This window comes from Homo sapiens, chromosome 2, assembly GCF_000001405.40.
Source record: "Homo sapiens chromosome 2, GRCh38.p14 Primary Assembly".
NCBI classification, from domain to species: Eukaryota; Metazoa; Chordata; class Mammalia; order Primates; family Hominidae; genus Homo; species Homo sapiens.
In genome coordinates, this window is record NC_000002.12 from 121401298 (window position 1) to 121424331 (window position 23034).

Here is a 23034-nt window from a genome sequence, read left to right on the forward strand (position 1 = left end):
ACAAAAGTAATATCAACACAAGGAAGATATGGTATTTCATTTCATGGACTGGTGGGACATGTCAACAAGTATGTCAACAACAGAAAGTGAGAACTGAGTAAAAGAGATATTCAAGGGGGTGACAAAGGCCATGGGTAACAAAAGAGAATGGCAAAAAGTCACTTACAAGTATCCTGTAACATCAAAATGGACCTAACCCTTAAACACTTACCTTGTGACATCTAGAGCCTTTTGAACTTTTGCTTGCACAGATCCAAGTAAATCTGCTCCCATTTTCTTAAGTAATTGTGTGAGAAGAACAAAAAGCCAGTCTTGTAAATCATCCTTATGAATTATTATAAAATCCACAAGAGTCTCCAAAAACATACTGAAAACCTAGACACAAATGAAAACCAAGTAGTTCACATATTGAATTCACGATCTCCTCCAAAGTCTACAAAACATTAAAAATGCCCATACGTGCTTTGCCCAGACTCTTGTAACTTAGGTTAACACTGTTAACAACTGTTCATAGTACAGAAGGAAAATGTAGTGCAGAAAACAGATAAAGGAAAAAGAAATGGAACTTACTCTCTGTTGTGAATTCCACCGCAAACGAGGCCATGCAACAAAACAAATTCCATGTTAGTTGGCAGTGAATTAATACCATTTTCATGCGTTTTTTTAAGAAAACCTGAAAAGGCTACAAACCAATGAAATATTCTCTCCTCCATCAATGTAAGTCTTTAAAAAGCAGTACAGAGAGAAATTAACTTTTCTGTGTTTAATCCTGAAGGCTTTTCTTTCTTAAACAACAACAAATCCTCTTGCCCTAATTCTATAGTATTCTTATTCACTATCTAGCAGTCAACAAATACTATTATAAAATGAGCCAATAAAAACACCTACTCACTATTGTGTAGCTATTGCTTTTCACGTCAGACATTTTGATGTATACCAATTTCAGATATCATAAAGTAATAGATTACGGCTTAGAATAAAATATATAAAAATATTAACATAATCATCATGCTGTTGTGTAATGATTTTTGCTAAGGCAAAATAGAGTGCACAGTGGAATATCTCTGAACCAATTTCAGAGAGAAAAGTAGCACTGAGTATCCCTACCTTGTTAATGAAACTTGTTCTACTTGGACAAACCACAAACCCTATACCGCCTCATTTCTAGCACAGCAACTATTCACCACCAGGGGTCTCCTGTGAGACAGCTCAGGAAAAAGTCATTCAGCTGTGGGATTCCTGGCTTCACTTACAGGCAGCTAACAAATACTAACTAAACTGAGACCTCCAAACTCACTGTACAAGAGACTTCTGATGGAAACAAATTTCCTTCTTTATCCTCACATTCTGCTTCTGAATCAGCAATCTAGGGGTGACAGGTAACAGAAATTTATCAGTGTTCTAAACCATCTAATAGTGTTCACGTTATAAATCTTAAGAATCTAATTATGCTTATGAGTTAAATCTTACTGCTTTTACCACTACCTTAGAGAAAAATCTTGATAAATTTTATCTTTGGATATCTATGTGGCCTTTAAGCTCAGTCTTTCCTGAATTTTTATTGAGACAGAGTCTCACTCTGTTGTTCAGGCAGGAGTGCAGTGGTGCGATCTCAGCTCACTGTAACCTCCACCTCCCAGGTTCAAGTGATTGCCTCCCAAGTAACTGCGATTACAGGTGCCCGCCACCATGCCCAGCTAATTTTTATATTTTTAGTAGAGACAGGGTTTTGCCATGTTGGCCAGGCTGGTCTCGAACTCTTGACCTCAGGTGATCTGCCCACCTCAGCCTCCCAAAGTGCTGGGATTACAGGTGTAAGCCACTGTGCCCAGTGGATTTTTATTAATATTGTTAATGTTGACTTTGCTGTGAGGGTCACAGCAGAAAGTTTAAAGACATGCTTCAAGAATGACACTGAGTGAGGAGAGCTGTTGTGGGGGGAGGGGAGGAGAACCCTTGCATTCATCCCCTTTACTCTCATGAGCACCTCAAAAGGCTGGGACCATATCTTCTTTTCTATATCCCTGCCCCAGAGCAGGTACTCAGTAAATGTTAAATGACTGGGTGAATGAATGGGTGGATGGATGTTTGATATTTCAAGGACAATTCCTACGAGGAAGCAAGGATAGGAAAAGAAAGAAGATGATGATGACTAACTGGCTGGGCTCTCTGGCCATCACAGGTTTCTTTCTTCCAGCAAGACTTGGAGGAGCCCATCTTTACTAGGAAAACTGTAGTTGATCCTGCATGTCAGCATTAAAGATTTGCTTCTGCTCATTTAAGGTTCTATCCATTTCCACACCTTACCTTCTTCCTCTAAAAGCATCTAATAGTCTCTAAGGGCCTTCTCCCTAACAATAGTATTTAAAATCTAGACTCCAAGTAAACTTCTGTAAAGATACCCTGTCTCACGTCTTTTCCACCACCCCTGGAAAGTGTTCTGTCCCATACTCATGGGCATTTCCCCCTCAGCTGGGACTCTCTCATCAAAAAAAGCATTCCTTGGGCTTAGTGTTCCCTATGGCCCTCAGGAGGTGTGGGCACCAGCTAAGTGATCCCCGTTCAGCAAATTCTTGGTAACAGCAAAATCCTATTTTATGAAATAACCTGGTTTATCAATAAATCCATTACATATTCTCATTTTTTCTATCTTGTCCTATACGGACATATTCTACACGGGATACAAAAATAATTATATACTTATTTTCTTCACTACTATAACATTAAAAAATGCATGATATTATAATATAATCTTATACCCTAGCACCTACCTCACTGTTTGGCTAAGAGGAGACATACAAAAATATTTGCTGAATATAAGAAAGACCATCTGATTCTCTCCCTGATAACATTTACTTGAAACACACTTATTTAACTTGAAATTTTATGCACATTTAAGTTTCCAAGAATTCTGTTTTTAAAAGATGTAACATACACTAGTGCTGAAACCGGTGTGACTCTGTAAGGTCGGAACTGCACTATCGGGAATTCTCTCTCATTCTTGGGTAGTATATCACACAGAGCACACAGACATGCAGGGGTAAAGACAGGGCAGGCATGACTTCAGACTTACCTTGCTATGAGGGTCAGCAAACATCCGAGTGAAGATCTCACACAACCTTTTCAGTTCAACTCGACTAGAAGAAATAAAACAGAAATCAATGAATTTACTACTTTTATTATTTTTGAGACAGGGTCTCACTCTATTACCCAGGCTAGAGTGCAGTGGTGCGATCATAGCTCACTACAGCCTTGATCTCCCAAGCTCAAGTGATCCTCCCACCTCAGCCTCCCGAGTAGCTGGGAGGTGCACACTACCACACCTGGGTAATTTTTTTGATCAGTCAACTACATAAGCTTTACATAATTCGTATCTACATAACAATGTTTTTTCACAAACTCTTATTTAATTTATAGCTAAATCAAATAGGAATATAAAACCAGAGATTTGCTCTCATTTTAAGATGAGGAAACTAAGACTGAGTGATTTACTCAAGCTAACACATCTGGAAGTGACAAAGCCATGCACCAAATCTTTTTCATTTTATCCCAGCTGTGTTTTCCACATGCTACAACTGAAAGGCAATGGAATAAAGTTTAAAAAGCATGTCTATCCTGCATTTTAATGAGAGGTACAAAACAAAAAAGGGAAAAAACAAAACAGCATGTGTTTCAGGGTCAGACAGATCTGGATTTTAATCTCAGTTCTGCTGTAAATAAGGTACTCTGGGCCAGGGGCAGTGGCTCACACCTGTAATCCCAGCACTTTGGGAGGCCAAGGCAGGTGGATCACCTTAGGTCAGGAATTCAAGACCAGCCTGGCCAATGTGGTGAAACCCTGTCCCTACTAAAAATAAAAAAATTAGCCAGGCATGGTGGTGGGTGCCTGTAATCCCAGTTACTCAGGAGGCTGAGGCAGGAGAATTGTTTGAACCCAGGAGGCAGAGGTTGCAGTGAGCCAAGATCACACTATTGCACTTCAGCCTGGGCAACAAGAGCGAAACTCAGTCTCAAAAATAAATAAATAAAATAAATAAGTACTCTGCTATCTTTAAGCCTGTGATTTCCTTATTGGTCAAACAGGATAAGGACCATGTCACGTGGCTGCTGAGAGGATTAAAAGATAAAACATTGTACCTTCTACCGTACCTAGGACAAAGCAAACACTCATTTCACATTGGTGCCCTTTGCCTTTTCTGATCCTTGACTACTACCAAGTCCCATGTTTAAAGTTTGATAGAAGTGTCCTCTCTTCCACAAATCATCCCTGATTAATGCCCTCTTACGTGGATGAGACAGTTTGTTCAAGAACCCTTCAATATTGTTAACGACGTAACCTAGATTAGACCAATGCCAATCAACAGATTCCTAGAAATTATTCAATGGGTACTTGGTGAACACTAAGAATCTACAAAGTGGGACCACCAGGATTAAACAGATTCTTGAGGAACAATCGTGACAAATCATCTTCTATTTTTGACAGGTCACCAAAGTGTCACAGGATGCCTGCGTTTCAGAAGGCAAAACTTCCTGTATCGTCTTTGTGAACAGACAAATAATAGGGGCAGGTATGAGTACGGGAGGGTGGAGTCAGGCTGCCTGAAGAGCCACAGTGAGAGCTGAGCAACTCATCAGGCAGTGCTCAGCCTTACAGAACCCAAGAGGGATGCCCATCTATGACCGTTAACTTATCTTATAAAAATCATCCAAAGGATAAAGTAGACTGCATTTCATGTACTCTAAGTTGCCCATTTCTTAATTCCCATTCACGTCTCCTTTCTCCCGTTTTCACATCTCTGTAATTGAGTCATCTTATAATCAATGACATTTTTGCACTGTTATGGTTTAATACGTGGCATTAATTAAAGGGCTAAAAATAAGGGTGTGTCTATGGTGCCTTAGATTTGACAAAATATGGTATAACCACATACTTTTTTGGTATGTGTAATACACGCTTATTTTAGAAAATTTATAAAACAGAAACAAAGAAAAAAGCAAAAACGATCCATCTAAAAGACAATGCTGTTACTATTTTGGAGTGCTCCATTTTGTTATCTCCTCACTATGTACATTTATAAGCTACATATATGCACATGCATATCAAAATTTTCCAAACTAAGACTGATAACATTTAATCCAAGACCCTAAAGTATAATGAACCATACTAACCTGCAGAGTTGTTTTATTTTATGTTTTAACCTGAACTGCATACTGTACAGGAAGATTTCTCAAATAACATCTACTGGACAAATATCAAACAGAAGGGAACCAAATATGGGGTCTTTATTTTTTTATTTTTTTTATTTTTTTTGAGACAGGATTTCGCTCTGCCACTCAAGCTAGAGGGCAGTGGTGTAATCATAATGCACTGCAATCTCCAACTCTGGGCTCATGTGATCCTCCTGCCTCAGCCTCCGAAGTATCTGGGATTACAGATGCATATCACCACATCCGGCTAATGTTTTAACTTTTTTGTAGAGATGGGGTCTCCCTTTGTTGCCCAGGCTGGTCTCGAACTCCTGGAGTCAAGTGCTCCTCCTGCCCTGGCCTCTCAAAGTGCTGGGATTACAGGTATGAGCCACTGTGTCCACCCTACATCTTTTATCAGCTTAATAAATTATAGAATACTTGCCAGATGGGCTGGGCGCGGTGGCTCATGCCTGTAAGCCCAGCACTTTGGGGGGCAAAGGCAGCCAGATCACGAGGTCAGGAGTTCAAGACCAGCTTGGCCAATATGGTGAAACCCTGTCTCTACTACAAATACAAAAATTAGCCAGGCGTGGTGGTGTACCCCCGTAGTCCCAGCTACTCAGGAGGCTGAGGGAGAAGAATCGCTTGAACCCAGGAGGTGGAGGCTGCAGTGAGCCAAGATCGTGCCACTGCATCCAGTCTGGGCAACAGAGCGAGATTCCATCTCAAAAAAAAAAAAAAAGTAAAGAAAAAAAGGATATTTGCCAGATATTTCAAAGCAAATGGATGGCAAAGCAAATGGATGGCAAGGACTGTGTCTTAGTCATCTTGGTACCTTTAGTGCCTGTTCCTGCAAGCAGACCTCTTGGTATCTCCATTAATTATAGGAATTAGACTCCATTAATTATAGGAAATCCCTTTAAACCCCTGAAGAGTCCAACAGGAGATTCAAACTTAGCTCATATTCTTGCTGTGGTCCTCACCTCAGTGTTCTTTGGCTCTTCAGTAAGTTCTGCAGGCCCAGAAGCCCTTCTTTCCTTTCTGACCAGTTTGAACTAGCACAGTGGTTGAGAACTTCTGCTACATCCTCAGTCTGCCGCAGATAATGGGGAATGCCACCATTCCTGGAGCCATATGAGCGCTCAGAGCAAACACTTGAGGCATCACTGTTGGCATCATCGTCAGAATACATCCCATACGGCTCATATCTCCTCCTCACAGGCTTCTTCTGACAGGTCCAATGAGGGATGGGAGTGATTGAGGAAGAAATAGAAAGGTGAAATGACTGTGAGTCACACCAAACAAAATCTACAACAAAGAGTTAAGTGTAAAAAGACACATGCACACACACACTTTTCCTGTGCTTATAGATTAGGGAAATAAAAACAGAAAAGCAGTTTTCCATTAGGTAAATAAGCAAAGCACTCTGTAGTAGAAGGGAAAGAGTATGGCCTCTAGTAAAGTGCGTAGACTTTACAGGAAGACAGACAGATCACAACCTTGGTGCCAACACTGACTGGGCTGCATGACTTCTGAAAGCCTCCTAGGCCTTTTGCTTCAGTTTCCCCATCTTTAAGACAACAATAATTAAACCTATCATACAGGCTTGTTGTGAAGATTAAATGAAATTATATGTTAAATATTTCAGCTGGGCACCTGGCACAATGCAAATATGTGCAGCCAACAGCCCCTCCCCAGTCAAAAGCAATATATCTTGAGCACAGTCTATGGGTAAACTTGTGTGAATATTTATGTTTCCTAAAAAAGTCAGAATTTGAAATGTCAATGGCAGAAGCAGCCCACATAAAAGGATTTCTAAGTCATCTCCCTCTGTTGCCCAGGCTGGTTTTGAACTCCTGGCCACTTTTATTAAAGACTTAGGGTTTTGAAACACAAATAGGCTTCTTTGAAAGTAGACTATAATACCCACTTTATTCACTTCTCTGACCCTGAATACAAAACTGTTATACCCACAAATATGATATAGCAGCAACTATACAAAATTGATAAAAACAAAACAAATAGCGATTGGCTTAAACCATACAAATATACTTCTTTAATAATATGGCGTATTATTGTTAATCCAACTTGCTCAGGACTGTTCTGCCTTAAGCTTATTGTCATAATTATTGATAGCATCCCCCTTTTAATCTCAAAAGCATTTTTGTTTGGATAATAAATTACATGGTCACACAAAATCCAGATTCCTAAAATAAGAAAAATGTTGATAAATCCATTCATGAAATCATGACGACGTAAGAATAGGCACAAACTGAGTTAATAAAATGAAACACTACTAGGCGAAGGAGCAGAGCTTGACATTCAAAATAAATACTAAAACAGATGTACATGAAAGGTGGCTGACTCCACCATGAATAAAGACAACAATGATGGTGAATCACTGTTATGATTCAACAAAATCATATTTCAGACCAGAATTTCTATACTACATTTTTTGGTTTTCACTAGCTTCTAAAAGAAATATACTTGCAACAGGAGAAATAAAGTTGTAAAACAAAAGTTAAAGGACTGGTACCTTGCTCCTGGAGTCTCCTAACAGCTGTAGGCAGGAAAATATTGAAGGATGGGGAAAAAGCATAGAGAATTATGTCAGAAGCATATGTAGGGATTGTTCTTGCAACAAAAGTGTACAGCAAAACATATCTTAGCAAACCAAAAATACAGGTTAGCAAGCGTTTCATATCAAGCTAATAATAATAAAGAATGCTTTCAAAATGGCATTTCCTAACCCTCCTCCACGTCTCAGAAGACCTTCTGGTAACTTGCTGTAATTCTTTGCTAAAACTTTTCCCATATCGGTGAGGCAAATCTCTAAGGTCACCATTAATTCTACTATCTATTCCTCTGAGACATTCTGTCTGGCGCCGTGGTGTCTATTCAGCGAGGCAAAGATTCTGTACCATTTCTGTGTTTTCTCTTCAGAAGCAGGTCACTTGGAGAGACTCAACAGTTTGGACAAAAAGTAACAAGGGCAGCATGAATCTAATGGGAGCTAGAGCTCAGAGAAAAGCTCCAGTCAAGTTAAGCCAAAGCTCAAACTCTCAAGTCCTATTCCGCCTCCTAGAACTTTACACACAGTCCCTTATGCAGTTCTTTAAAGAACTAAGAAATTTCCCTGCCTTAAGTGGAAGTCTCAACTAAGGGTTTCACATCCATCATTTCCCACCCCTTTGACCTCCACTTCCCAGGGTCTCTGAACAAATAAGATACAGATTCTAAATGCTGCAACTTGGAAGGACAAACAGCTTCAGATAATTCTGTTCCAGCTCTTGACTCCTAAAGCCATGGTTAGAGCAGTTACCCTGAACTCTAGCACCTGCCAGAAAAAAGTCTTTCTATACATAAGGTTGAGGAATACAGGTGGCCAGGCAGCTTGCCTACAGGAAAAGGATTAGGAGAGCAGCAAACTGCTCACAGACACTTGTCAAAGAACCTGACTGAGCAGGAATAAATGAGGGCAAGACAAGAAGGAATGAAAACTGGAATCACCATAGCCATAAACTATAAAATGTTGATCTGACAAAACATGGCTGGATTAAAAACTTCAGAGTCTGAAAGCAGGATATTACATACTTTTTTCCCTTACAAGAGAATAAATCTTAAAACAGCAAGAGCAAGGCCAGTGATCAGACAGTTCTAAAGAATATCCATTTCAAATGCTGAGCACATAAACCAGAATATGCAAGAGACTGTGTGACTAGCTGAAATGCATCTTTAAAAAGCAATCTGACCACAAGCTGATTCTACTAGGAAACTTTTTGGTATAACCAAAAAAATTAAAGGATCCATGATCATTTATGTTTTTCAGATATTACACTATAATGATGCAAAAACATATTCCACCACTGCTTCACATCCTCAAAGATTTAGGAAAAACAACATAAAATCAAACAGACAAGATAATAGAATAAATGCAAGATTTTCAAACCTCAAACTCTATTACCTATTATTATAATAATATGTCTAGGTTATGCCATCAAAGTCTGTAAAGCAACAGAAGCAACAGAATGGAAAAAAGGAAATGCCAGAAAAAAAAACATGGTTAAAAAGAAAAAAAGAAGCCCAATGACATCTGAGAAGTCCAGGGTCATCAAAAGCTCCTTGATACTGAAGAGCACAGATAAGAAATACTTGATGCTAATATTTTCTGTAAAGTCCATTTTCACTTATATGTGTGCAGAGGTAAAAGTTTAAGGGGCAAACAATAACAATATAAATTTACCCAACATTAACACAATTTTAAAGAGTTTCAAAGATGAATTCATAACCTGATTTGGGGGCAATTTCCTGTTAGGACAGAGAGAAATGCAGATGAGTATTTCAAAAAGACTGTGTACATACATACTGTGCCTCTTACCAAAGCATCAGCAACAGCAGCTTCAAGATCTGTACTTGTGCTCAGAACTCTCATGGCATTCACAGAACCAGGTATTCTTCCTGGCTGGCCAAGCCCAAACCGATCTATTTAAAAAACAAAAGCAAAAGATGTGTCACTTTAATTCAAATTATTTCAATTCCTTGCAAGGACTACTGCCTCTTCCCACCAAGTAGACAGAAGTACTGAAAAGTCTCTAGCCAATTTTAACTACACTTGACTTGTTTACCAGTGGTAGAGGTTAAGCTGTTCACATTTAATGCTATAGTGCCACAAAGCACTGTCACTCGAAATTGTTCAAACATGGTATTTTATTATTGAAAAGTTTCTGATATGAGAGGGAAGCGGGAACTTATTATAAAAGGTAGCTAGGCTATGAGTTGAGTCTTTTAATCTATTTAGCTTTCCCTGTAGAGGCAAGTGGCCTTGATGTTTGGTCAAACTAATTAGAAAGCTTCATGGTTTCATAAGAGTTCTAATGCAATGTGTGGTAAAAGCTTAAAATTTGAAACAAATGTATTAAATTGATTTCTGTGCAAATTTTTATTAGTGTCACTTCTGTTTAACTATTGTTAAGCTCATTTAATTTTAGATACTTGTTCGTCACGATGCCTGTGTCAACAAAAATTACTTAAAAATCAATTTATTAAAATTATTTAATAATCACTAAAAAAATCTAGCACTTTCACTGAAGAACATTAAAAATTTAGATAATATAAGTTTTACCTGGGTTCCTCAAATAATTTAGAATGGCAATTTTTATACAGATAAACAAATAATAGAAAGAATCCAAAGAATTTAAAACAAATTTAGTAGTTCAAACAAGTATTTTAAGCTTACTTGTGATCATGGAAATGAAAACTCACTTTTTAAAGTCCCATTAAATCAGCTGACCAACCTTCCTTAGGAAGTGCTGGAGATTAAAACTATACTAGGAGAAAGGCAGTGTAAGTTGTATCTTCATTAAGTGTGTTGTACATTATCTACCAGTAAAAAATTTCTTATTTAAAAGTCCAATGTATAAAAACCTTTGGAAGAAAAATGTTAAGATAAAATATTTTCTCTGTGTTAACAAATAAGACTTCGTTTGGACAACGAAAATCTCTATGTTAGCTATATTCTGGAAGCATCTAGAATAAAAGGGAAGCTAATATCTATTTTACATGAATTGATCTTTCCTATAAAACAATGTATTTAAAATTTTAGATATGCAACAAGACAGTGCCTACAAAACTGGTGAACTTAAAAAGTGAATTGTTATTTAGCTTTTTAAAAATGTCAATTTCAAAACATTATACCTTCCACCACCACAGAAATGGAGAAAAATTTAAACACTGCTAATCAATAGTTATACAGTCATGAATTTTTTAAAAAGAAACAAAAACTGTATGTTATACTATCCCCTTTTTTAATGCATTTGCTGGTCTTTCCAACTGTCATCTTAACCATTATGTTTAAAAGGTAATGTGCCATATAAACTAAGAAAGGCCATTAAAAATTACATTTATCTATATCAGTTGAAATATGAAACAAGTGTAAATGTGAGATTTACTATGCACACATAGTTTTACAGATGATCTTTGTTCAAGTTTTTTTTTTCATTAAAAAAGGGTAGATAGTAGGAGACTTATGAGTAACAGAATGAAAGTAATTCAATTATAAGCCATTAAAAAATTACCCAGCATAAACTTAAATAAAACGAAGTCTAATAAAATTTAAAAAAAAAAATCTCATGCCAGCAATTCTTGCTCCAGGGAATATACAGATTTTTTCAGATACAAAATTAAAACTATAAGAACAATGCAATTATTCTGTGCTTCCAAGATGCATACAGCTTTGCCATACAGAGTGACTATAGATCATTTGATATATATCACAGACAATTTGAATTTCAAATCTTAAGGGGAAATGTTTATCTGGATCTAAGCAAAACTATAAGCTTTATGTTTTCGCCAGAGCAAAGTCTGTTCCATATTCTCAAGGCTCTGATACTATTATGAAGTCTGATTTTTCCAAGAGATGAATACCTATGACTGTGCTCTCAGTCTGGTCCCTAATCTTCAGGGAAATGTACATAATCAGAATATATAGGAGGCTGGGCACGGCGGCTTTGCCTGTAATCCCAGCACTCTGGGAGGCCAAGGTGGGTAAATCGCTTGAGCCCAAGAGTTTTGAGACCAGCCTGGGCAACACAGTGAAATCCCGTCTCTACAAAAAACAACAAAAACTAGCTGGGTATGGTGGCACGCACCTGTAGTCCCAGCTACTTGGGGGGCTGAGGTGGGAGGATCGCTTGAGCCCAGGTAGCAGAGGTTGCAGTGACCCAAGATCACGCTACTACACTCCAAGCCTGGGCAACAGAGTAAGACCCTGTTTCAAAAACAAAAAACAAAAACAAACAAACAAAAAAAGCAAAGGGGGCTTCATTTAGAAGAAGAAAAGAGAAAATACCAGACTCGGTGAATTGGTAACAATTGTTACCATCAATGGTCTGAAAATTCATAGATTATGCCTTACTCAATTGAGAAAATTGTAGTCATTAGGGACTGTTAGCATATAAAAATAGTGGCAGTTAAATCTAACAAATTGATGTATTACTGTATGCTTACTTTTTGCCACTGTGGCTAACCAGTGGATGTTGAGTATTGCTAAACAGAGCTGAGAGAGCAGGTTTGGGGTTTGCAGGCTGCAAAGGATACCTCTGGCCTGACTTGATTACCTGAATCCTGATCTTGTTTTTCCATAAAACTTTGAGAACAATACACTTATTTTCATACATATGAAATTATGTATGCTATAATTTGCAGCGCTGTTAACTAAATGGTACCTTAAAAATGTGAACTTGACATCAATAACTAGCATTAATATTTGACAGTTTATTTGGAGTAAAGACTTTGGAAGGGAAAGAATCTGTTGGATGATATCCATGCCCCCTTGCCCCACAGGAACCCTAAATAATACCTAATTTTGGTTATTTTCCTGGGGACAGAGTGGCAGGAAGGGAATTACTTCCCTGTTGTTTTAACGTAAATATGAACACTGGAGAAACGATGTTGTCAAACAGGCTATGAAGCATCTACAGCCTATTAACAGAACTATAAACATTCAATAACTTAAAAAAATTAAAGCACATTGGGGAAAAAATATGAGGTGCAAACATGCCAAGTGCTAGCCGACACAGATGAAAACAAATGTTGACATGGGTGTGAAACTAGAACATATGAAGAAGCCAAGTCATGCAGTTAGCACTTGTTCACCTGACTGCCCAACAGATTCAGCAGTGGAGAGAGCACTAGTGGACCTGGAATGACGTCGAGAGGCTGCAGGTAAAAGGAATGGCAACACCCACAGGATTAACACAGAAGTACCAGAGACAGAAAATGCCACAGTCCAGAGGAAATGCAGAGACTGCTACCAACAAGGCCATGTTTTCTCACGAGAAGAAATGGTGCTGGATATGAATGGACAGCAAGTGCCAATCCCCAAACTTCACAGTGGCCAGCTGGCTCTCACACAGCTATTAAACACACAGGCACAACAAAGGCGCTCTTAAAGGTGCTCCAAACTAAGTATGCATCAACCAACTCGGACTCCAGGGTTATATTCACGCCATGAAGCCTCTATCAGCCAGTATGGACATATGCAACATGAAGAACAGCAGGAGTCACAGAGCACCGTCTACATCCCAGAGCGGAATGGCAGTAAGACGGATTGTTAGCTCACGAGATGTTTTATCAGTATGTGATGCATATGCAACCATGCACCAAAAACAAGCATAGAAGTTCATAATGTTACTTCAACGGAAATAAAATAAAATCACAGGAAGGGGGTTCAACAGTTAGAATTCCATTTTCCCCAGTCAAAATGTTTGTTGTTCTGTTGCATGAATATCCTAATTATTATTATTACTATTGTTTTGAGACAAGGTCTCACTCTGTTGCCCAGGCTGAAGTGCAATGGCACAATAATGGCTCTCTGCAGCCTTGATTCCCCAGGCTCAAGCAGATCCGCCTGCCTCAGCCTCCCAAGTAGCAGGGACTACAGGGATGTGCCACCACATTCGGCTTTGTTTTTTTTTGTAGAGACGAGGTCTCCCTATGTTGCCTGGCTGGTCTCAAACTTCTGGGCTCAAGCAATCTTCCCGCCTTAGCCTTCCAAAGTGCCGGGATTACAGGTGTGAGCCGCTACGCCTGGCCATATCCTAATTATTAGTACTTGTGTAATCGTTTGAATTTAGCTGTATTAAGTTCAATGATCTTCCTTGGAGAGGCAGTTACAGTACACTGGTTATGAGTACCAGCTCAGTAATGCAATTGTAAATGCTCGTTGGATCACAACTAGCCATAGGACTGACCTTGGGCAAAGTACTAAATCTATCTGTGTCTCAGTATCTTGTTTGTAAAATGGTGCTAATAATGGTTAATGGTACCTACCTCTTGGGAGTTACTGAGTGGATTAAAAGAGATTATAAAGCAACTTAAACATTGGTTAGTAGTGTTGGGTGGTGCTGGTGGTGGCAGTAACAGTTAAGAGCAACCTCAAATTTACAATCTGACATTATAGTACCATTTTATTAACAAGTATTCTTAGTGAGCATATTACTTCATCAACCTGAGGGAAATACATGCTAAATTCTGTCCTCATGTGGATAGAAAACAACTTTTAGAAATAATTATGAAATAAAGACTTGGTTCAAAACATTAACTTATTGACTACAGTTTCATGCAACATACGGCTTTTCGTTAACCTCAGGAAAAACAAAAGATAATATGCTTCCATTCATTACTCTGAAAAATTCACAGTGATTATACCACAGAAAATTTATAGGTTTAACAAAATAATACTAAGCAGTGCTACATTTTATCTGTACTACTAGAGTATTCTGTACATGTTAACGCTCTCACATTCAGTCATAAAATATCAATACCTCAAATTCTTCAATATAATTTTTAAGGTCCATGTTACTTTATGAAATGTGCATCTCTATGGTACATGTGGTATTAAATAGCAAAGATTACCTGGCAATTTTTACCAGCTTGCAAAAAAAGGAAAATATCCCTTTCTCAAGATTCACAAAAATTAAAACTAAATTGGCAAAGAATATTATAAAATTATCACTTTCCCTAAATAAGGAAGTTGGTAAAATATCTTAAGACTGAAGCAAACTATACATTTTGTACAAGCACATCACTATCTTGATAGTTCAGACTGAAATAGTTTTTAAGCAGTACCTGATATGTAGGTTCCTTAAAAAGTGGTCCTTTAGTTCAGTTTCAACAGAATATTCTAAAAAAAATCTGTCATGCCATGAGTCCTCTGTCACATTCACAAGTTAACACCCAACACTGGAATCCAAGGTAGACCCACTTATGTGAAAGCCTAATTTATAGCAGCCCTAGAGCCCTTAATTTCCCTTAATCAAAAATTATCACCATAACCATATATATTCATACCATCAAAATGGTCCAAAACAATAAAAATGCAAACTTAAAAATATATATTCACTAGAATATAAGTACTGTCATTCTTTTTGTTGTTGTTGTTGTTAAAGAGCTGGCTACGTAAGTGGATTCAAAGAAGCACTGACACACAATCTCACTAATTTCCAAAAAGGGTGGGAAGAGATTATTAAAATGAATGAGCTAAAGAAGGAACCTTCAGAGGATGTGTAGTAAGCTCCCCTGAGGACAACAACCTTCTGGGATATATCTTTGAGTTCCCAGGTCCTAACCCCAAGCCTGGAAATAAATGACTCAGAAACTTCTTCTAACCCCCGACCCCAAGAAGCCTCAGAACAAGCATTTAATATATTTTCGAGAAACAGATGAAAGACACTGAATTATCCAAACTACTTCCAAATGAGGCAGGCTTGAAGTCAAACCTGAATTCAAACCCTGGCTCCACCATTTAGCTGCATGATCTTGAGAAAGTGGCTTATTCTGCCTAAGACTCTGACGATGATAATACCTGTCCCAGAGGATGAACAGGGACCACAAGGCATTATGCCTGCTGACTGCTCCAAACGGTGTGTGTACACATGAGCAATGCTGTTGTTCTTGCTGGACATAAGTTTTAGGGTTAGGTTTAACCCAAGGTGGGGAAAAGCATGATACAAAAATTTTAGCTCGAAGACCTTAACTATTGCCCTGACCACAACAGAAGACGTGCTGATGCTAGAGCCTGTGAGGACCCACGCCTTCTGCCTTGGTAGTGGCAATTACACATTTCAACATTCTGGGTTGTCACCAAGACAGCTAAGCAGATCCATTTAATCAAACAATGTACAAAACAGACCAGATTCACTCAACCACTCAGAGTTCAATTAGGATCTCAAGAATTCAGCACACCTTGCCTGCTCCACATGCCAGATTCCAAAGGATGCTTCCACGGACAGTATCAAAAATAACAGTACATATTTGAAAGGAAAACACTGAATTGCTTCTAAGAGACAAAATAACCAATAAAGGATTGAATTTTACTCATAAATAGGTTGTTCAGAAGGTCAAATAGTGAGCAAGGATGCAAAGATATACAGCCTTAATTTAAAAGGAAAAATCACCAGTTCATTCAGAAAAAAAAAAAAAATCATTGCCACCTCTGATTATTGAGAATTCTGCTGTAATGCTTCAGACTGCTGTGGAATAGGTGACATGCAATAGGTAAGGTGCCCCACTCAAGGGCTCATGCTAACAAGGTGGAACACCTCACAACAGGTATTGCCTCGCTAAATCACAGGGACCATCTAGCAGGGCTTTGGCATCTGGTTACCTGTTCTTTTTCAGAATTTCATAAAGGACAATGGGTCATAAAGAAATACATCTAGATTTTGATTACCGACACTGATTAGGGAAAAAAGATCAGAAGAAGTGAATAACATTAGAAGGGGCTAGGTAGAGGCAAATATTAAGACCTTATGCTTTTGATTTAACATCCCTCTTTCGTAGTGGCATGTATAGTTTTCAAAAGACCAGTTACATAAATACATAGTTAAAATTAACAGACTGCTGGAGTCCACAGATCCACATAATTTCAGGTCTACGTCTAAGTATTATAAAATGATTTCTACGTTTATGCTTATCAAGAGGAAAATGGACATCTGTACAGCACTTAACATGGCCAGCAGCCAAAAATAATTATTGAAGAATACAAAATATTCCTTTTCACAAAAGTATGTGTTGACAGATGTCTTTTGGGGATCGACAGTTTATACTAACTAAAAAGGGTTTATTATGTGTCCATTTTAGAGATGGCAGGACTATTAACTCTAAAAAGAAAACTCACTTTACTTTACTAAACATTATCGCTATTGTACTTTTGTTCCTTCTTTGAATTAAATTACATATAGACTGATCTGTAGTAAAATTAAAGATAAATTGTAAAAATTCAATGACTAAGAATAAACTTTGGATTAACTTTACTTTTAAGCAGCAACTAACTTCGGCTGAGTTTTGCCTTAGGTTAGAAATTACCACACAGATGGGCTTGCCCAAGAGCAAGTGGTCACAATGACAACAGTACAGAGTGAAGTGGTGTTTTTTTCCTCTAATATATAAAAATTCGAAGTTGCCAAAATTCAAGCATGCAGAGGGGGACAAGGGGTAACTAAGGAAGAGGAAAGAAAGAAGAAAGGATCACAAGGACAGTAGAGGAGGAAAAGCAGGTCATTCCGCCTAGCAGTGTCTCGGACAAGCAGGGAAAGGAACTCTTTGCTCCTCAGCCAGCACCTACGTGTACTCACCAAGTGGAGGAAAGCCCCGAGCAGGGCTTGTATCTCGGCTGCTCTCACGGCTGGTATCGCGGCTGCACCCCTGACTCATGCTGGGTCGAGGGATACGGCTGCTCCGTGCTAGCGTGCAGCATGAAGGGTTTCAGAGAAGGTGAACAAGTTTAATGAAGACAGATAAACTCACAAAATGTCAGTCACATTTGGTTAATGTAATTACGACATTGTTCGCGCTGGGGAGTTCTGATGACTGAGCCACCTATCCATGCTGAGGTCTCACTGACTGACGTGCCAACGGGGGAGGGTTTGGGTAAAATGTGATTATGCTCAATACCTCAGAAAGCTGTGAATTTCAGTACGAAGGTGAAATTACACCTAAATGTAAGAAGTGAAAAGAAATCTTTCTGAACAACAAACTGTCATCAGAAAATACAAGATCAAAAGCCTTTTAGAAACGATCAGTTTTTATGAGCTTAGCAAACTTCTCAACAAGAGGACAAAAAACCAAAGCTGTATTCATATGCACTTGTTTCTTAGAAAGGTAATTTAATTTGGATTAACAAACAGAATAACCACACTGGTCACTGAAGTCCATGAACTTACCTAATGATAAGGAAGAGGGCTCACTGCTCCCAGGCTGGCCATCTTCACCAAGAGAAGCCATAAGAGTTGACACAACCAGAGAGAGAGCCTACCCACTCCAAGTAAGTGTGTAGATGCTTCAAACATATCCAATTCTCGAAACCAGCAGATATAAAAAGTGGGGACTGTTATCCTTTCCTTTACTGATCCCAACATTTTATCCCTGCTTTTTCTATGAAAATCTGAAAAGATCTGCCTGTGCTCTACCAAGCACCACCACTGACCCAGTCTTTCACACTGTGTCTAGAGCAAGTAGATCAATACTCTCAGTATTTGGGGAAAGATCTCTCCACTGACCTGAGAACAGCAAATAACTTTCTGATTATCTACGGCTAAAGTTAATCATTCTCATGTTATAAAACACCGAGACTACAAGACAGAATTGCATGAATAGCCCAGGGTCTCATAATAACTGGGCTGTGAAGCTTAGAAAAGACCAGGATACCCTTGTTTCTCCATCTGAGAAAATGGAAATACATTACTGGGAAAATACTCCAAAACAACCTTGTATACTGAATACATGTAGGTGGAATGCCTAATGTAATAGCTGATGGGGACAATATACGTTTCCATCCTGAGAGGATGGACTGGAAAAAATGTCAAGACATTTTAGAAACAATCAACTTGAATCACTGATATCAAAACAAGTATGTTTCTATACTGCAATGAGCATAGTCTATTGTTTGAGAGCAAAGATTTATTATACAGCCAAAGTATAACAAGAATGTCTTATAAACCAGAACCATAACACTCCCTGATTAAAAAAAGAATACGAAAGGGAAAACTAAAGCCAACTTTCTATTGTGCTCAGCTGCTCAGTACTAGAGTGGAACTAGACTCTGAAGGCATTTAAGTGATATCCAAATGCTTACTACTGCTCAGGGAAAAAAAAAAAAGTCAAGCACAGGAACGTAATCTCAACAATCTAGACATAAAGGGCTTTATTGGGGGTTCACCAGAAATTCTTAAGCTCTCCTTAATTTTGCCAGAGTGATGTGAAAGCACTGAATTTTCACTCAAAGTAGTAGTGACTATTTAGTCAGCAATTCTTGATGACATTCTAAACAGCTCCTACAATGATGACAAAAGGAGATGCCAAATTAAATGCTTAAAAAACTAGGGAGCGTGTGTACTGGCTCTACCAATACGGACAACTTTCCTAGAATGTACACAGCAATACCACTCATCCTTAGAGAACCAATGCCAAATCTGAGTCAAAAAATGACCATTCCAGCTCCATGCTATCTCACTGGTCCAGCCACTTGGCCTCTTTGGGTCTCAAGCCTCCCATTAGGAAAACGAGGAAAAAGAACACGTCCCCTCATTTTAAATGAGAAGGGTACTGTGAGATAATGCACATACATAAGTATTTCCAAGTCCCTTGCTGAAGAGCACATGTAAAAATTTTGTCGTATTCCACTGCCCACTCCAAAACAAATAATAAAAAAGCTATAAAAGGTCTTGATAGTTGTTTAAACAAGTTCATGCTTAGTTGAGCATTTTCTTAATAGTTCTTGCCTGATTATTTCTGAATTCTTCCTAGCCCCATCCCCTTCCTTAAATTCATATACATGCTAGAACAACGGGGAAAAAAATGCTCTTTTTCGTCTGAGTCTGTTTTGTGAAGACAATAAAAAGCATTAACAGCAGTAAACAGATATGATCTGAAATAACAGTATGCATAAATTTCTTAACAAGGTTTACCCCCCTCCGGTATTTCACCCAGAGAGAGTTCATTCACCCATTCGAGCTGATTTTCTCATTTAACATATGGCTAGTAGCAGTATAGAGAAAACTAATTGTCCGTTTATGATTTTGTGAAAATATGGCCATAGTTACCCTAAACCTCAAGAGCTTTGGCATCATTTACTCATCAAAGTAAATCTAGTGGTGACATCCATGGTTCAAATGTTAAATAATTTAAAATACAAGAGAAATACAAACTCACTTATACTACTACTTTGAAAGACTAATCTAAAAGAAGGATTTAAAATAAGTATATTTATTTATTTAATTTCTTTTTTTGAGACGGAGTCTTGCTCTGTCACCTGGGCTGGAGAGCAATGGTGTGATCTTGACTCACTGCAACCTCCGCCTCCTGGGTTCAAGTGATTCTCGTCCCACGAGTAGCTGGGATTACAGGTGCACACCGCCATGCCCGGCTAATTTTTTGTAGTTTAGTAGGGACGGGGTTTCACCATGTTGCCCAGCCTGGTCTTGAACTCCTGAGCTCAGGCAATCCACCCGCCTTAGCCTTCCAAAGTGCTAGGATTACAGGTGTGAGCCACTGTGCCCAGCCTATTTTTTATTTTTGAGACAGAGTCTTCTTCTGTTGACCAGGCTGGAATGTGTGGCGCAATCTCGGCTCACTGCAACCTCCGCCTTCCAGGTTTAAGTGCTTCTCCTTCCTCAGCCTCCTAAGTAGCTGGGATTACAGGCACGCACCACCACATCCAGCTAAGTTTTGTATCTTTAATAGAGATGGGGTTTTGCCATGGTGGTCAGGCTGGTCTCCAACTCCTGACCTCAAGGGATTCATCCACCTCGGCCTCCCGAAGTGCTGGGATTACAGGCGTGAGCCACTGCACCCGGCCTAAAATAAGTATATAAATGACTTTTTATAAATGAATTAATTAGGTGATCAAAACTAAAAGAAGAAAATCCCACCAAAATAGTCTTGTCTCTTTAAGTGCCAAACTAAATGTTCTATGTGAAAATATGTTACAGAAGAGAAGGCATAAGAGGGAGAGACCAGGAAAACATACTTGTACTGTGAACTTCCTAAAAAAGCAGTATTCCTAGGTACCTCTGGGGTCTTCTGCTTACATGAAATGCTGGGAAGCCGTAAGATACCCATTTGATTGGTTTACATTTCTTGATAGACACTCTACCCTACTTCAGTGTTTTAATGGTAATCTTGACTTTTACATCTTAAGGAAGGGTCCAACCAGGACTCATAAAAGCAGAATATAAGAGAATTAATAAAAACAACCAGAAGTTAAAGACATGAAATGTCTCTCTGGTCTAGACATTTTCATGTCTTGGTCTTAGACAGTAGTCTAATTTCACAGTTGAAATGAACTATTATTAATGTTTAATTATTTCAAAGTATTTTAACCAGAAAACCTTAACATTTAAAATACACATCCACAGAATGAAAGCTGCAAAAATGTCAAATGTGTTTTCATAGCCTTTCCATAGAGGAGTGGGAGAAGGGAACAAGGGCAAACTTCCAAAATATAATCACTATAGATACTAGTGATTTATGTGACTTTATTGTATCTATAAAGTATTATCTTTAAGACACACAGAAATAAAACAACTTAAAAATACATTTTCCTAGTCAGATAGCTTATGAGGGAACAAATCACCAAGAAAAAAGAGTATCAGGGATATATTTTGCTTCTTGAATATTTAATAGGAATTACAGGCTGTTCTGCTTAAGAAAATCTAAATGCCAAAGAAGAGCCTTGGCATCAGTTTTAAAACAAATGAAAAAAGAAAATTTTGTTAAGAAGTATCATTTCAAACAAAAAGAGGCATAGTTGAACCAAACACGATTTGTAGATAACTACGATTAATTCTCAGTGCAAATTCCAAACCTAGTTTAGCTATCATTAAAACTGTTGAATTTGTTGGTTTGGGAATTATAGAAAATATTCCTAAAAGATGTTCCTCCTCTTTTTTTCAACAATTATATTGAAAACTGCTATACAATGAGTCAAATGTTAAGAAACACAGGCATATATCCAGTATATACTAAATGATAATAGTAATATATAATCTATTACTGAATAATGCTATTATGTCTGCCACCCTATTAAATGCAATCTCTAAGCAATACCACAGGAAAAAAATGAAAATACATTTTATTCATATAGATTTCTTTATATGCATATATTCTCGCAATGTGTGGAAATTTAAAGAAAATATCTTCTTTAATATAAACTATATGTATGACCTCAAAGCTCTACACGTAACTGATCCCTTTAATTAGCATCAAGGAAATAACTTTCTTCAAATAATATTTCAAATAACTCTTTGGAAGGGAACAGGCTTAAGTTCCTACTGATGCTCCATAATAACTGTTTTAAAAACATATAAAATATTGTCTTTTCAACTACACACAACACAAACTTCCTAGTTAAAACCATGGAACACATTAGAATTATGTTAGATAAATGAAGTTGGGTTATTTCCCAATTTCAAGAAGAAGATTAAAATGGCATCTTTAATAATATAAAAGGAAAAAAAATCTCAAAACAGAAAAGAATCTTTAAATGTATAAAACTAACATGGATTGCAAACAGACATCCTATAAACTTAAACAATTAACTATGGAAAAAGACAGCTAAAACATAACACCTAGATTTAAAATCAAATGCATTTTCCAAACACAAATATGTTACAGCATCAGACATAAAATTCAGATATTCCAGCTGTGACCTTTTCTATGATTGTATCCACATCAACACCCAAATAACTTGTCAGCTAAGAGACCACACTACGCAATGCCAATAAAAAGTTGGCATCATAGAGATTTACTAAAACCAAGAAATACTTTCTACTTGCTTTGGAAATAGGATTTCAAATCAAATCTTATCCATTCTTAAATATCTTCTCCTGCCTTCTCGTAGCTAAGGTGGGCTTCAAAGACTTTCATGAGCTGGACTCTACCAGTCTCTGCCCCCAACTCCCACCCACTCTGACTTCCTTTACAGCAGCCAAATGAATTACATGTGGCTGCCTCTTGCCTGACTGCTTCTGCAGATGCTTCTCTCTCCTCTAGAAACCTTTCCCCTCATCTCCCCACCCGGACCAATCCCATTTTGTACTTCATGAAAACAGAATCTACTCTGGGCAGCCTCCCCTAGCAAGAAATCTGGGGTGGCCAAGGGTCTAAGATACTCCTTTTTTAGGTCATAGTTTTGATTATGTGAAGCACCCTGTCATAGTATTCGTCATACTGTGTTACATTTCCACCTCTCCCCAATAGATATCAAGCTTTTTGAAGTCAGAATCTAAATCTATCTCATGTATCTTCTAATTCTCAGGTCTAACAAAGTGCCTGGTACATCACAGT

The 23034-nt window shown here is 38.1% G+C and overlaps 1 protein-coding gene across 37 annotated transcripts in view; it reads right to left on the reverse strand.

Annotated features, from left to right (window-relative positions):
• The window catches only part of CLASP1 (cytoplasmic linker associated protein 1), a 311687-nt gene that overhangs the window by 63522 nt on the left and 225131 nt on the right, over positions 1–23034 (reverse strand). For 5 of the 37 annotated variants that reach the window (XM_047443792.1, XM_047443789.1, NM_001378004.1 and 2 more), the window contains 4 exons: positions 9569–9672; positions 6174–6418; positions 3074–3137; positions 212–375 (listed from right to left, as the gene is read on the reverse strand). In XM_047443792.1, coding sequence (XP_047299748.1) covers positions 212–375; positions 3074–3137; positions 6174–6418; positions 9569–9672 — 577 coding nt within the window. Of the gene's footprint in view, positions 1–211; positions 376–570; positions 574–1297; positions 1367–2479; positions 2483–3073; positions 3138–6173; positions 6419–7726; positions 7751–9568; positions 9673–11981; positions 12907–17324; positions 17433–23034 lie in introns of those variants that run through there. The other 32 variants (XM_006712383.2, XM_006712381.2, XM_047443783.1 and 29 more) reach the window with 16 other exon arrangements.